The 17,029-nt window shown below is 40.7% G+C and overlaps 1 annotated feature.

Annotated features, from left to right (window-relative positions):
- Positions 13,379–14,896: an enhancer, noted in NCBI's record as "VISTA enhancer hs1236". NCBI's record gives its function as "enhancer in: forebrain[8/8] | limb[6/8] | tail[5/8]" and the evidence as "EXISTENCE:transgenic organism evidence [ECO:0001131][PMID:17130149]".

Below are 17,029 nucleotides of genomic sequence, written 5' to 3' on the forward strand. Positions count from 1 at the left end.
GGCCACCTTCTCTTCCAAATTCCACAGCCCAGAGCTGGCAGCAGCCTCTCTCCAAGGCAGGGTGGGCAGCCTCACTGCTGGCCTGGGAGTCAAAGCCAGAACAATGCAGGGGTTCTGGGCCTGGCAAGGTGGGTGGCAGCCATTGCTGTGGGCCACAGGATTTGAAGGGAGTTCTCTGTGCACTAGGTCAGGTTTCCTGGTGGTGGGGTGGCCACCCAGCCCATTAGATTTTCCTAGGGACAAGGTGGTTTTGTGGCTCCATTGGCAAATATATCAACTGCTGACCTATGAGCCAGCAGCTGTTCTTGCTTTTTATACACTGCCTTACCTTATCCTCACAACACCTATGAGACACATGTCATTAGGCCCATTTTGCAGATGAAGAAACTGAGTGGCAAAAGGTAAATGCCCTGTCTGAAGCCAATAAGCCAAGAAGGGGCAGAGTGGGGTCCAAGACTAGCTTGGTGAGATACAAAGCCTGTACCACATGGCTCTGGAGAAGAAAACAGCCTGGGACTGAAGGGCACACGTGGTGTTCACTAAACCACTGGTGCCCAGGCTCCCAGCTGACAGCATCATGACAAGGTAACAACTTCGCATGGCTGGGTAGCAAAATGGCAGCCACTTTCTCTGTGGGTTCTGTGCCTGAATCCCTTCCCGAGCTCATCCTCACAGAAGTTATTTTCTTTGCACCCATATGGGCCACAGTGTATGCAGGACATATCAAAGTGAAAACCACCAGATTGTGGGCTGGAGTAGGAGATGACAGAGAAACTTGAATAATATGTAGCAAGTCATCACCTGCTTTGGGCCCAGAGGAGAGAGGAGTTAATGCCAGCAGGGGCTCTGGGAAATCTTCCAGGAACAGGTGGCGGCTGAGGTGGGTCCTAGAGGATGGCAAGGTTTGGGATCATTTGCTTCAAGTGTTGCACGTGGCCTGGTACCATTGGCTCCTGGACATCATGTGTTGGAGGCCCCATCCCCCAGCACTTAGGCAACAACCAACAATTTTCAGTGTCACAAAGCTTTTTTCCAACAACTCCCCCCAAGCACTGTGGGGTAGCGACATGGGGCTCCCACTATGGGTACACTGAGTAGGTCCTAAGGCTTCCTAGCTATGTGATTTTCTGTGCCTCAGTTTCTGCATCTGCAAAATGGGGCCAATATTAGTAGTCCCTACTTCTAGGGCTTAGCACATAGTGAGTGTTGATTAAATCAAAAGATTATAACCATTACCCATCATTATCATTTCTGCAGCCAGCTTCCTGGTGGAATAGGGAGGCTAACTTGCCTTTGAACAAATCCCAGCCTCAATTTCCTCCACTGGGCATCTTTAACCTCCACAGCACCTTTGTGTCGGAGTCTTCTCTTAGCTCCCTTCTGGAATTGTAGGATGGATTGTGTGTGCCCCATAAAAGGCTGTGTGTACAAAAGCAGAGCTAAGAGGACAGGAGACAGATGCAAACCGTTGTGTTGGCTTCTCAGCCAGGAGGGATTTGATTTTTAAAAAATTGCATTATCTTAAATAAATCTGATCTTAGCTCTGATTCAGTAACTGGGTGATTTCAGGCACCTTATTTCTATTAGCCTCGGTTTCCTCTTAACTCCTACGGGGTTAGGGAACATACACGAAATACATATGTCAATTTCTGGCATGGTAAACTGCACATAGAAAGCACCTGGTGTACTAGCTACTGTTGTTTTCCTCCTCATCCCTGGCTCTCCTCCCATTTTCTCTTCCTCTTCCTCCACCTCCATTTTCTCTTTCTCCTTGCTGGAAGACTCCATTCCCCATTTTTTGTCCTGGATCGGTTAAAAGTTTCAATAGGCCCCTAAGGTGTCCTTCCTTAGGCATTATGAGCAGCAAGCATGACATCAGGTGGCTTTCCATGGCTGACCATCTGACTGTGGGAAGAAGATGATAAAAGACCCCTGGGCCCATGGCTTGGCACAGAGCTCTTCAGATCTAAAAGTAGGAAGTTGAGAGCAAACAGGGGCTGCATCTTGGGTGGTGAGACTCTCTAACCCCCATCATAAAGAAATTGCAGCTGTCAGGGCCACGGAGCTCCCATCCCAGGGAGAGATGCTTACAGCCAGAGCCTGCAGTGATGCAAAAGGGTGACATGACTCAACTTGGAATGATTTCCAGTTACACCCATGAAGAGGAGAGCAATCACTCCCAGGGAAGGTATACTTGTTCTCTGGTGCTGGTTGCTCTCCTTATCCTATAGCAATGTCTGCATGTCTGTTCTTTTTCATTCATTAAGCAAATGCTTATTGGGTGTCTGCTATGTATCCTAGGTAATAAAAAGAAACCAGGGACTAAAATAGATATAGATTCTACCCCTACTGGAGGTTTCTATCTAGTGGGGAGACACACACACACACACACACACACACACACAAAACAAGTATACAAACACAACTATATAATTGCAAATAGTAATAAATGCTGCAAGGGAAACAGACAAAGTGAAACACCCTAAGAGGAGGGGCACCTATTGAAGTAGTCAGGGAAGGACTCTGGGACTCGGTGACATTGAAGCTGAGAGCTAAAGCATGAGAAAGGACACATGGTGGGAAGAAAGGATGAGATGAGGTGAGGGAACAGAACCGCCAAGCCCAGCCCTGGGTCAGGGAAGGGGTCGGTGTGCTGGGGAGGCCGAGAGACAGAGGGCAGAGGCAGAAATAGGAGCTGTCATGCAGGGCCCTAGAGGCCATGGCAAAGTGCCTGCATGTCATTCTCAGTGGGGATTGGGGCAGCCGCAGCAGGATTTTAAGTAAGGGATGACATGGATGTCAATGAGCAGGTACAGCTGCTCACAGGCAATGGGAACTGAATTTCACTGCTCTCTGGAGGTGGTTTTCAGAACATGCTTCACATTTGTAAGGGGCACTGGGCCAGGTTGTGGTAAGAATATCATAAAAACATTTGATCTCATCCATCAGAGAGCAAGGGGCTGCAAGGAGTGGGGACAAGTGGGCTATCTAACCCAGATGAAGACTCGCAGTGCTGAAATTCCAGGCATGTCTGCTAATTGAACACTTGAGTAGCACTTACTATGGGCTAGCACGTCCCTGTGGGGCAGGTAGAGTTGCTAGAGAATGCTGTCATTTTTCTAGAGGACGTAGAAACCTTATTTGTGAGCCTTACCCATTTGAAATTAAGAGTCTACTTCTCAAAGGTTCTGTGAGGCTAATAGGAAGTGATGAGTGCTACATGCCGGTATTATTCTTAAGAAATAGCCATTTTCCACCCCTGCTTTTTTTGTCTATAGAAAACAGTTTTCCAAGCAGAAAAAAAAACCGAAACCATGTAATTAGAATTATAGGCAATTTTGAACTTAGCTTAGGCACACATTTCAATCCTGTTGCAAACACCCATTCAGCACAATTGCCGGGCTAATTATAAATCATTTCTTTTTATTCATTAAGCCAGAGTCCCTGAGGGCCTCCACAGAGGTGTGTTCTATTGGATGGTTTCAAGGTCCTCTGTGTTTGACGGACCTCCTTTGTCATCTGGTGTCGGGGGACAGGCCTAACAGGTGTTTTACAGCTCAGTCAGGCCATATCAGGTTCTTATTGAAAATGCTTAAATTTCAGAAAACACACTTGGCCTCACACCATAGCCAAAACCATATGAGGCAAAAAGATGTTGTTACAGCGCTCTTCTGAACTCAAAAGGATAAAATGTATCTTTCTTTAACATCAGTTCAAATTGGAGAAGTTTGAATGTTTAATGATTTTTAAAAACTGTTATTTCTTTGTACTTGACAAGATTTCCCCTTTGGAGTGGGTTTGTTTGAGTGAAAGCTCTTAACCAAAGACTGCATTTTGAGGTCTGAGATTATATTTTCAATACCTACCAGAAGTTAGCTGGTGCAGCTGCTTTGTATGAAAAAAGTATGAATATGTGGTTTTGGTTAAATTATGGAATTTTAAAACATTGTAGTACCTTTAGAAAAAGACAACTATGCCTAAAAATCTTATTTTAAAAATGTGAGCATATAATGAACTTCAATGCTTCGATACATGGTTCGGCCAGACTAATTCAAATGAATTTACATTGGTCACAATATTTACATTTAAAAGGTGTAATTTTCTGAATGCAATAATGATGTCAAAAGGAGTTTTGAGGTCCTTGGGGGTATTTTTTCCAACACTATCTTTGTGAAGTTTTGCTCAAGTGTCTTTCTTGATAGTTGTAAAAGAAATGGTATAACCCTCACAGGGTCACAGCTCTGACATCCCTGTTTCACTGGAGGGAGAACATGTGGCCTCTGCCTTTAGGGTGTTTAGAGGGCAGGAGAGGCAAGCCAGAGGAAACAGACACTCCAGGCTCCACTCTGCTCCATTATGGGACCACATTCTCAAAAACACTCGTGTGTGTGTTTGTGTGTGTGTGTTGTGTTGTTGTTGTTCTTTTTAACCTATGTTTTTTGGAATTTCGTGATGAGATTGCTTAGTTTAACCGAAACTTAGAATGATTTCCTCAATGGCCAAGAACGATAAAACTAGATTCAGTTGTGAGTTCTGGCTTTCAAATGGAAGCTGGCTTGCCTAGAGATAGATAGGTTTGCTTATCTGTCAATGGGCCAGTGAACCTGGCCCAAATGCAAATGAGGCAAAGCAAAACAAAACAAAAACAATGATAGAGAAAGGACAGAGATATAGATCAATTGGACAGAATATAGGGTGCAGAAACAGACCCGCGCATACATGGTTGATTGATTTTTTTGACAAAGGTGCAAAGGCAATTCCATGGTGAGAGGATGGTCTCCTTAATGAATGGTGCTAGAGCAATTCAATATCCATGTACTAAAAATGAAGCTTAATCCAGGCCTCACATTCCATACAAAACTGACTCAAAACAAATTACAGATCTAAATATAAAATATACAATGATAAGGCTGTTAAAAGACGTCAAAAGAACATCACTTTGCCGTAAAGCCATCAAGGTTTTATACATTGGACAGAAAGTATTTTTTAGGTACAACATTAAAAGGATGATCCGTTAAAGAAAAAAATAAATTTGATCTCATCAAAATAAAAACTTTTGTTTTTCAAAAGACAGTTAAAAAAATAAAAAATAAAACCGCCACACATCAAGAAAAAAATATTCACAAATGACACATCTAATAAAATACTTGTATGCAGAGAATACATATAAGGAACTCTCACATCTCAATGAGAACACAAAAGCCTATTTTTAAAAAATGGGGCTGGGTGTGGTGGCTCACGCCTGTATTCCCAGCACTTTGGGAGATCGAGGCCGGCAGATCACGAGGTCAGGAGTTTGAGACCAGCCTGGCCAACATGGTGAAACCCTGTCTCTACTAAAAATACAAAAATTAGCTGGGTGTGGTGGCGCTTGCCTGTAGTCCCAGCTACTCGGGAGACTGAGGCAGAAGAATCGCTTGAACCCAGAGGCGGAGGTTGCAGTGAGCTGAGATTGTGCCACTGTACTCCAGCCTGAGTGACAGAGTGAGACTCCATCTCAAAAAAAAAAAAAAAAGGACAAAATATTTGAATAGAAACATCAACAAAGAAGATACACAATGCAAATAAAGTTATAAAAATATGTATCAGCCTTTAGGGAAATGTAAATTAAAACCGTAATTTAGACACCTCTCCACACTTCTTAAAATGGCTAAAAAAAAAAAAAACAAAAATGGACATACCAAGTTTTGGTAGAGATAGGTAGAACTGGAACCCTCATACATTGCTAGTTGGCATACAAAATGGTACATCCACTTTGGAAAGCTGTTTGGTAGTTTCTTGTTATGTTAAACACACACTTATCAGATGACTCAACGATCTTACCTACTCCTAGGTATTTACCCAAGTGAGAGGAAAATTTACGTTCGCACAACAACTCTATGTGAATGTTTACAGAGGCTACATTTATAATCACAAACAGCTGAAAACAACTCAGATATTCCTCAACTGTGGAATAGATAATGGAAGATCCATACAACGGGTGACGACATTAAAGGTACGCCAGATAACATCACTCATCATGTCCCATGAATATCAGGAGGTACCCACTAATGCAATGGGGGCACCTCACCTCTGTGGCGTTCTCCCCACCAAACCCTCACTCTAACTGAGGAAAATGTCAAACAAATGCAGATTGAGAGACATTCTACAAAACACTGACCAGTACACCTCAAAACTATCAAGGCCATGAGAAAGAGAAACGACTGAGAGATGGTCACAGATTTTCTGGAACAAAGAAAGGACATTCATGATAAAAAAAAAAAAAAAAGAAACTGGCAGAATTCAAATAAGGTCTGGAACTTAGGTGAGAGTAATATATCAATATTGGTTTCGTAGTTTAGACAGATGTGTCATGGTAACGTACGATGGTAACATTAATAGAACGTGAAGCCAGGTGAAGAGTCTATAGGAACTCTGCATTCTTTGCAAATTTTGTAAATCTTTAATTATTTCTTTTTTTGTTGCTTTGAGACAGGGTCTCGCTCTGTTACCCACACTGGAGTGCAGTGGTATGATCACAATTCACTTCAGCCTTGACCTCCTGGGCTCAAGCGATCCCCCAATCTCAGCCTTCCGAGTAGCTGGGACCACTGGTGCACACCACCATACCCAGCTAGTTTGTTTTGATATTTTGTAGAGACAAGGTCTCACTATGTTGCCCAGGCTGGTCTTGAACTAATAGGCTCAAGCACTCCTTCCACCTCAGCCTCCCAAAGTACTGGGATTACAGGAGTGAGCCACTCCACCCAGCTGCTATACTCATTTCAAACTAAAAAATTATTTAAAAATAAATATGCCAGATGCATAGCAGGCACTCAATAAATGATGATTATTACTATTCTTTTGAGGAGAAAGCATTGGTAGGAAAAGCAAATTACAAAACTGCCATCTTACATTGCATAGCAATTCAAAGATGTTAAATGGCTCCTACCAACATTATTTCACATATTGAGTCATAACAGCTTAGAGCTAGAAAAGATGTAAGTATTATCTGGCCCAATTCCCTCGTTTTCTAGATAAAGAAACAGAAGGCCAAGAAAAAGGACCAAAAAGGGGAAAAATAACAGTAATGTTGCAGTAACAGAAATAATATTAAGAGTTTTTAAGAAGTTACCATAACAACAGCAAACAACAACTATATCTCAGGCACTGTCCTAGGAACTTTGTGCTGATTTATAACAACCCTACAAGATACATTTTATAATAGTCTTTATTTTACAAAGGGTGAAGCTGAGGGTCAGAGAGGTTAAGTAACATGCACAGGATCACACAGCTAGCAAGTCGTAAGGCTGGGCTTTGAACCAAGGAAAAGAAAGGGAACTAACACTCATTGGGCACCTACCACCTAGCACAGGGGTCCCCATCCCAGGTCATGGAGCACCATGGCCTGTTAAGGACCTGACCACACAGTGGGAGGTAAGCGGTGGATGAGTGAGTGAAGTTTTATCTGTCTTTACAGCCACTCCCCATTGTTCCTGTTACTGCCTAAGCTCCGCCTCCTGTCAAGATCAGCGGCAGCATCAGATTCTCATAAGAATGTGAACCCTTTTGTAACTGTGCATGAGAGGGATCTAGGTTGCGTGCTCCTTATGAGAGTCTAATGCCTGATGATCTGTCTCCCATCACCCCCACATAGGACCATCTAGTTGCAGGAAAACAAGCTCAGGGCTCCTGCTGGTTCTACATTATGGTGAATTGTATAACTATTTCATTATAGATTACAATGCAATAATAATAGAAATAAAGTGCACAATAAATGTAATGTTCTTGAATCATCCCCAAACCATCCCCCCACTGCCTGGTCCATGGAAAAATTGTCTTCCACAAAACCAGTCTCTGGTGCCAAAAAGTTTGGGGACCACTGACGTAGCAGTCCAGGTGCCAAATATCTCCTCAACCTTAACCCACTGAACTCCTTACAGATCAGTACCTTTATCCCAAATTCACCCATGAGGAACTCAAGGTTTATGTGATTGTCCTGCCACAAAGGTGCCAGATGGCAGAGCTGGGACTTGAACTTGGCTCCTAGTGCCCTCGACCATAATTGGCTTAAGACTGGTAGAACAGGCCAGCAAGAGCAGACTGGAGGCCTTGCCTTTTCATTCACTTTTTGTTCTACACTCAGGACAGCTTAGCTAACCTAGCTGTGCAGCTTTTACAGTTTTCTGTTTTACATGCAGAAAAGACATCTTCTGTCTATAATTCCTTAAGACTTGGGGAACTGACCTAGGGCTTTTAAGATCTCCAGGACACAGAATGACAAGCATATCCATTTTCCAAATTTCCAAATTCACCCAATACCTGTATTAACAGAGTCAGTAAGATGTTAACATACAACAATATTAGCTGAGGCTGATGTCTGATGCTCTGGCCAAGCCCTTACTGTCCGCGGCTGAGAGGATATGAAAAGTGTAACATGTATTTAGACATATTGGGAAAAAGTACAAAGCGATCATCTGTTTGTATCCCCCTCCCATATGTGGCCACAAATGGAACACATTGAAAAGGTCATGAGAGATCAGGAGATTTAGTGAACTGGGCACAATACAGCTTTGTGGTCCGGTTTATTTTCTCATGACAGTGTAAAATATAGATTGAGATAAACTAAAATCCCTCATATTTGGTTTTATAGCTTAAATTCATAAATTCTCCACATTCATTAGAAAGTGATGTATTATCTGCACCCACTTGAAAAGATAGTATCCCAAGGGATGGATACAAGAATATTAAAAAAAAATTCCTGATCAAAGAAATATTGCTTCTTTCTTCCTTTCATTGAGCAGATGTGCAATGTGTCCAGAGAAAGAAATAGAGAAATTCCTGAGTGATTTATTTGATGAACCTAGTCTTAACCGAGGTTATTGCATGCCTGATATCATGACGGGGATTATTAGTTTCTAGTTGAAAATGACCAGAGAGAGTCCTGTTCACTTCATCAATATGGTCCATTTATAGGTTGTCAGGGAGGCGACATCGTGCAGCCACGGCACTTTGTCTTGGAGTTATTTCTCTATTAGATGCTTGCTTGTCTTCATCACGAAGACTTCTGGCTATTTAAGAAAACCCAGACCAGGGAAGATATGTCTGTTCTATCCCAGCATTTAAGACATTAAAAGCAGATGCATCACTTAGGAAAATGAGTCTTTTATTCATAGAGGCATCACAAAAGCACTTTTTGCCACAGAAAAATAAAAACAGATCAAAAAATGAACTTTTTTCGAGGGTGAGAGTTGACTTTGCTTTAGCTAAAAGAGATACTTCATATATCCAGTGGTTCCCAGATTTTGTGAAGCAATAAAATTATTTTTAAAAATTGGTGTATGGAGCTCTATGTAGGATTGGCAATTCTTTATTTTGCCAAATCAAATCATTCAAATCTTTTCAGAAATTTATATATTGTCTTCAACATTCTATAAAGAAAGGACATGTTAATACACACATGAGATTTTAAAAGCACATAAAAATTTTAAAAAGAACATAATCTCAGGGAAAAAAGCATTACTTCCTAGTAGAGAGAGCATAAAGGTCTCTCTCTATAGACTCAAGAAGCTGCAATCATTTATCAGAGCTGGTTTGCAGACAATCTTTGAGAACCCCTGGAAAATCTGGTAGAATCTGTAAGGAGCGAGATTGATGTTAGAGATGAAAACTTCATGTTCTGAAATTTTTTTGTAATTCTAAAATACTTGACTAAATGGTTACAGCATGAACAGTAATAATGAGTAGGTAGTACCATTTATTAAGTACATACTAGATGTCAGCTCCTTGCTATGTGGGTGACATGTGGGTGTCTTTTAATCCTTGAAGCAACTGGTAAAATCAGTATTATTATTGCCACTTTATGGATTAGACACCCAAGGCCTGGAGAAGTCACACATTTTGCCCAAGGAAATTCAATAGAAGTATTGGAGCTGGGATCCCAATTCAGGTTCCTCTGAATCAGAAACCAGTGCACCAGCCACTCAGTACCCTGCCTCCTTCTGACTGTGTTCTACTCTACTGACTTACGGGCCTATTTTCCCGCATGTACTCAGTGTCTTTTTTTGCCTTCAAATCCTCAACACTCAGTGCAGAGCCTGACCAATAGGAGACACTTAATAAATGCTTATTTTTAAAGAAATGAGTAAATGAAGACTTCTAGTTTTGGAAATTTGTTTTGCACATAGGATGCTGTGAGGATTAAATCAGATCATGTAACAAAGCACTTAAAACCACGCCTGACATACACAGGAAGTCCCTGATATATGTGAGTGACTGACTTTCATTACGGGTGTTGAGAAAATCAGCTTACCTTTGAGAAAGCTCTCCTGGCTTGGTCTGCTGGAGAAGTACTAGCAGCCTCACAGAGGAATCTTCTAGCTGAGTATCTTCTATAGAAAGATGTAAGAAAAAAAATTCAGAAATGACAATTTATAAAATGCCCCTGTGTCCTTTTTTGTTCTTCTTTTGCTGCATATTATCATTATAACACGTCATGATTTTTATATATATTTATTATATATATTATTCTATAATATATACTATGCATACTTGTATTATATAATTTTATAATATATAATTATATGAAATATATAGATTCTATAGAATATATATAGATTACATATAGATGAGAATATATATTCAATATATATGATATACATAGAATATTGATAATATTGATGGGAATATATATATTCAATATATATCACATATATTGAATGTTGATTCTCTAGATAGATCATAGATCTATAATATAAAGTCCTTTCTCTTGTGGATAAAGGATTTGCAACTTAATAATAAATAAAAGCAGTCCTGAGGGTCTTCTTGATGAAAGGATTTTTAAAACAAACCTTGTTTTGTTAGGCCTCAAAGGAAACTTAAAAGAGTTTGAGCATTGCAGTTCTTCTCCGTAGAAGATTGGAAGTACAAACTCTTCCTTATTTGAAAAAGCAGAGTTGATTACTGTATTTAGAAAGAACTCCCTGACCTTCTCTGTGGATATTCTTTATAGATACAGTCTTAAACTCAAGCTTAGAAATTTGTTTTCATTTATGTGTACAGTCCCATGGAAGGTGGAATTGCGAGTCAGACTATATTACTAGCATCAGGGCATCATGTTATTTTCCCAGAACTTTGCTGGAAATTTTCCAAGACGGTAACGAGAAAACTATTTACAACAAGGCCCTTTTGACTCTGATTTCTCTACTCTAAATTACAAGAGGTCCAGGGACAATCCTTCCCAAGGCACAGTCCAGGAACAGATCGAGAAGGTGATGTCCTTGCTATATTTCATTTCAGTTACTGATACTCCCCTGGTTTGTCTGCCTTCTTGGACAGATGTTTCTCTGGGCAAAGCAGCCCTGGCTGATGAAATGATTTCTAAGTCTCTTCCATCAGCAGGATCAGGGGACAGGAGACTGGTTACTCTTCAGCCCTTCAGATGAGTAAAACTGTTGAAAGTCAGGGTTACTGTGAAGCAGAACTTACAAATGCCTTCAGTCTACTAAGTTGCACTGTGGATAAAGACCTCATTGCATTTTGCCTTATAAAGTAACTAGGGGTTACCTCAAAATAAAAAGGACAAAAGAGAACATTTAGGAAAAATAAATTTCATGCCAGTTTATTTTTCCCCATCAGAAACAGGCTAATTTCTGGCACATGGTACCCTATGTTCATGCTTGGTGTGATTTCAATGTAGTAAGTTTTAGACTCTGGTGCTGACAGGTAAACAACCATTTTCCAACTTTACCTGTAGATGGAAAAATATAAGTGGCTTCAAAATAATGAATGATTAAATATTGCTTGTAATATGCTAGCAGATACATAATGCCTACATTGAGTTTTTCAAAAATAATTTTATAGGTATACATTTTAAAAAGAACTATAGGTCAATTCATAGATACATATATTTTTTCATACATCGATATATTAAAAAGATTACTTTTTTCATAGATAGATGTTTTCCAAAGAATTATGGGTTAAATAAAAGCATCTTTTTTACATCCTCGTTGGGAGAAAATTATGCAGAAAAATCCTTCAGCAGCATAAACTTTTACCTCTGCAGACCACTTCCTTTCTTTCAGGAACAATACATTTGAGTGAACCAGAGTGTCTCTGCCATTTACATGCAGAGTGTCCCTTCCAACAGGAGCAATTGGATGTTATACCTGAAACCATGTTCAAACAGGAATGATGTTAAGGGCACAGAATGTAAAGATGACTTTGTTTTGTTGTTTTCAAGGTAGATTCTCAAAGACCTATGGCTCACAGGCCCCAGCCTTTTTGCAGCAAATTAAAAACAAAACTTAAAAACAAAACCAAAAACCCATCTTTTCTATACTAGATCAGGCCCTAACGGTTATTTTATTTAGACAAAAAGCTTGATTCAGAACCAACTTCTCTCCTCCTCCCTCTCACTGTCTCCCTCTCAGTCTGCTTTAAAGGTTTTTGTTTTTGTTGCTTTTTCAACCAATTCCCTTTGCACTTGTGAAGGATAATGAATTGGTGCTCTTAGAGGAACTTGAACTTCTCCGATAAAAGATGTTTAAAGTCGTTAACATTGACATGATTATCTTCAGAGTTTGGCCCTATTAACTTGATTATTGAACCACTGTTTATTGTCATTGTCACAGTGCTTAACTGCGAAAGGTCAGATCAGAACGAAAGAACCCAAGATAGAATGACTGATCTTTAAATAAAATAGCTGCCGTCATATGCTCCCATTTCAAGATGGAAGACACAAAATGCTTCTGACTTCAACACCAGGAAAACACCAAGTTATGTTGAGAATCTGCAAATGTGAGCGGGTATCAGTGTCCTTAAAAATGCCCATGCTTTTTGAGCCAGAAATTCTACTTTTAATTCCAACTCTGCCAAGGAAGCAGTAAAACACATAAAGAATTGTGTTCAAAGCTGGTCATTTTAGCTTTGAATAGCAAACAATTGACAACAATCTGAATGTCCAACTATCGGGGATTACTTAGGTTAATTATATTATCATATGTAATGCTACAACTCAAAATCATACCTTCAAATAATATATCCTAAATATAGGGGAAATTCATGCCTTATTATGTAAACTGCATTTCAAAAAATTACAAGGACTGAACCCGATTTCATGACAAATGAAGTATTTGTGTTTGTGTAACAACAAAATCTGAGGGCTTTACCAGCGCTTACCACTCGGTGGACGGGGGTATTCTTTTTATTCATTCTAAACATTTTGCTGGAGTTCCTAAATTTTCTGCCACCATCACCTATTTCTATGATAACTAAAAAAATAAAAAACCAAAAACCAACCCAAAAGCCAGCAAATGCTATTTTTAAAAGCCAGAAAGGATGCAAGCCCTTGTGCTGAGGTAGTTATCTGAAGCACAGATCCACAGTCCATACACAGGCAAGCAGAACTGCAAACCTGTCTCATGGCTCCGCTATTCCAGGACCTGTATAGAGTTGTCAAAAGGTAGTCCCATAACACGCTTTTACAGCTCCGCATCCTTTATTAATGCCACATGTACTCCTGTAAGGTTATTAAGTGATATACAATAATTGTCTGTATTCCAAAGTGGACATTTATTTCACTCCAGTCCTGCGGCTCTATTTCAGTACCATTTCTCACAACTGCATTTTAGGAATCATCTCAGTGGGCTGTTTCTCTCGTCCCTCTCTTTTAATGCAAGCCGACCTAATGGCCCCGGTAAGAAATTAAATATAATTACCTAAGGAATCGCACAGGGCAAAATGAGATCGCACCGTCTTCCGAAGTGGAACAAGGCGTGGAGGCCCCTCATCCCCGGTCCTCCCCAGAGTTAATTTGCCTGTATTTCCTCCCTCGTTGAGTGCGCTCACAGGCAGCCTCACAATGACCTGTTTAGTTGGCAGTGGAAAATTATGTCATTTGCAAGCAAGCTTTCAGCTGTGATATTTTATAATTGTTAAGATGAAAACCCGATAATCCTCTCCCCCTTCACATAAACTGCAATCCATCTTTAAACCTGTGATAATTCCTAAAACCTGCTGCTTAATAAACTAACAAACCCCAGGCCTATGTGATTTTGCGGGGAGTCAATCTTTGATCAGCCAAGCTGAAATAGGTCTGATAAGGGGACGCCCTTCCACTCTAGAGTCGCCACTTGAGTAGGTTATTGCTGTTTCCTGCCATCCTCAAGTGCCAAATAAGCAGAAGTCTTCCGAGCTTCTTATCTCTTTCACTTTCTTCTCGAGATCTCTGTCGCTTTAATCCGGCGTGTCTGCTGCTGGTTAACAAGGAAATCCTATGTCAATTATCGCCAACAACTTCCTGCTGCGAAGCAGCGGGGAATCAAAGCGTTTGAGAGCCTTTTCACACCCGAGAGTGGTGCAGGGCCTAATTAAATGGCCCTCATATCCTGCAGCCTGGTGGAGGCCGCATGATAGATAGCTAATGAAAGATAGCCTAATTTTTCGCAGAACTGTTTGGAGGCTGGTGGGCTGTCCGCTGGGCTGCAGGTGTGTCCCGAAGTGGGGCTGCGTGGGTGTTTTTTTTTTCCACTTCCGCTAAATGTAGTGGGCCTGTGATCCGCATTGGACAACAGGGAGCCCGCCTTCGGTAAGGTGCATCTGATTAGAGCTGCTCTGGGAATCAGAGGCCCAGATGGAGTGGGAGAAGGACGGGACATCCAAGGAGACACTGAAAGACATGAAGTTCAGGCCTCAAAGGAGACCACTGCTCCGTGAGATTATTCACCTACCTCCAACACAAGACATTCCCTTTCCCGTCCAGGACTTCTCAGCAAATATGATGCTGTTTTAAAAAACTGATTTTATAAGATCACTGCAAATCATTCTCTTCAACTGACTTATTCCTGCTGAAGATACACATAATCTATAGACAAACTAAATGAAAAATAGACATTTTTGTTGTTGTTGCAAGAAATGCATTTTCTCTAGCAATTTCTCTCTATCTAAAGCAGTGGTTCTCACCATGTGGTCCTGAATAAGCAACATCAGCTTTACCTGGGAGCTGGTTAGAAATGCACATTTCTCGGGCCCCACCCCAGCCCCAGTGAATCAAACACTCAAGGGGTAAGACAGTCATCTAGGGTTTAACAAGCCTTCCAGGTGATTCTGAGACATGCTAACATTTGAGAATCACGTGTGTCCAAGAAACTCCTCTGTAGATGGCCAGTGTAGGTTAATCATGAATATCACCATTTGTTTCAAAAATCTAGCATGTTACATAATGGGACACCCTGTGTTATTTAACCTAACTCCATGTCTTTCTACATTTTATCACATGCTTGTGTCCAAGGCTGGAATCATTTCCTGAGTTCTGACTCATGATGTAGTACCTTGCTGAGTGAAGCGACTTTTGTTTTAATTTGAGGAGGTGGGAGTTGGGATAGAGAAGGGAGGCGGTGGAGACTGTATCCACAGAAATATTTGAATCTATTTTCTAGAATTGTGATTCTTAGGCTTTGGATTTTTCAAAAATTCAGGGCTGGGTGCAGTGGCTGAGGTGGTAGGATTGCTGGGACTACAGGTGCACAGAGCATGGTGGTGCGTGCCTATAGTCCCAGCTACTTGGGATGCTAAGGTCGGAGGATCCCTTGGGCCCAGGAGGTCAAGGTTACAGTGAGCCTGGATTGCACCACTGCACTCCAGCCTGGGCAACAGGGCAAGATTCTATCTCTGGAAAAAAAATAGGGTATTAAATAGGGTTTGTTGCTCTTTATTTTGTAATGAATAACATTCAACACCTCCCCCCCCCCCCACATTTCATAAAAGAAGGAACATTTTTAAACATGCAAAAGAAAACAGTAAGGATATAATTTCAATAGAAAAGTCAATCCTTTAAGTGGAATCAGTTTATGTTTATAAAAAACATACTGTCCTTCATTTACCCTTTTCGTTGAAGATTCAGTTGCCAACTGTCATCTAGAAATGGCTAGTGCAGCTTTTGATTGAGGAGAGAGGGTGCACGGAATGAGAAATCAGTGGTTCTTAACCTAGGCTGCACCTTAAAATCACCTGGGGAGCTTTAAATACTACCCAAACCTGGGCATCCTCCCTAGGGATTTTGATTTAATTGGTCTAGTTTGGGGCACAAACATCAGACTGTTTGTTTATTTATTTATTTATTTATTTATTTATTTTTATTATTTTATTTTTAATTATACTTTAAGTTTTAGGGTACATGTGCACATTGTGCAGGTTAGTTACATATGTATACATGTGCCATGCTGGTGCGCTGCACCCACTAACGTGTCATCTAGCATTAGGTATATCTCCCAATGCTATCCCTCCTCCCTCCCCCTCCCCACCACAGTCCCCAGAGTGTGATATTCCCCTTCCTGTGTCCATGTGATCTCATTGTTCAATTCCCACCTATGAGTGAGAATACGCGGTGTTTGGTTTTTTGTTCTTGCGATAGTTTACTGACAATGATGGTTTCCAATTTCATCCATGTCCCTACAAAGGACATGAACTCATCATTTTTTATGGCTGCATAGTATTCCATGGTGTATATGTGCCACATTTTCTTAATCCAGTCTATCATTGTTGGACATTTGGGTTGGTTCCAAGTCTTTGCTATTGTGAATAATGCCGCAATAAACATACGTGTGCATGTGTCTTTATAGCAGCATGATTTATAGTCATTTGGGTATATACCCAGTAATGGGATGGCTGGGTCAAATGGTATTTCTAGTTCTAGATCCCTGAGGAATCGCCACACTGACTTCCACAATGGTTGAACTAGTTTACAGTCCCACCAACAGTGTAAAAGTGTTCCTGTTTCTCCACATCCTCTCCAGCACCTGTTGTTTCCTGACTTTTTAATGATTGCCATTCTAACTGGTGTGAGATGATATCTCATAGTGGTTTTGATTTGCATTTCTCTGATGGACAGTGATGATGAGCATTTTTTCATGTGTTTTTTGGCTGCATAAATGTCTTCTTTTGAGAAGTGTCTGTTCATGTCCTTCGCCCACTTTTTGATGGGGTTGTTTGTTTTTTTCTTGTAAATTTGTTTGAGTTCATTGTAGATTCTGGATATTAGCCCTTTGTCAGA

Source organism: Homo sapiens, chromosome 10, assembly GCF_000001405.40.
Source record: "Homo sapiens chromosome 10, GRCh38.p14 Primary Assembly".
Taxonomy (NCBI): Eukaryota; Metazoa; Chordata; class Mammalia; order Primates; family Hominidae; genus Homo; species Homo sapiens.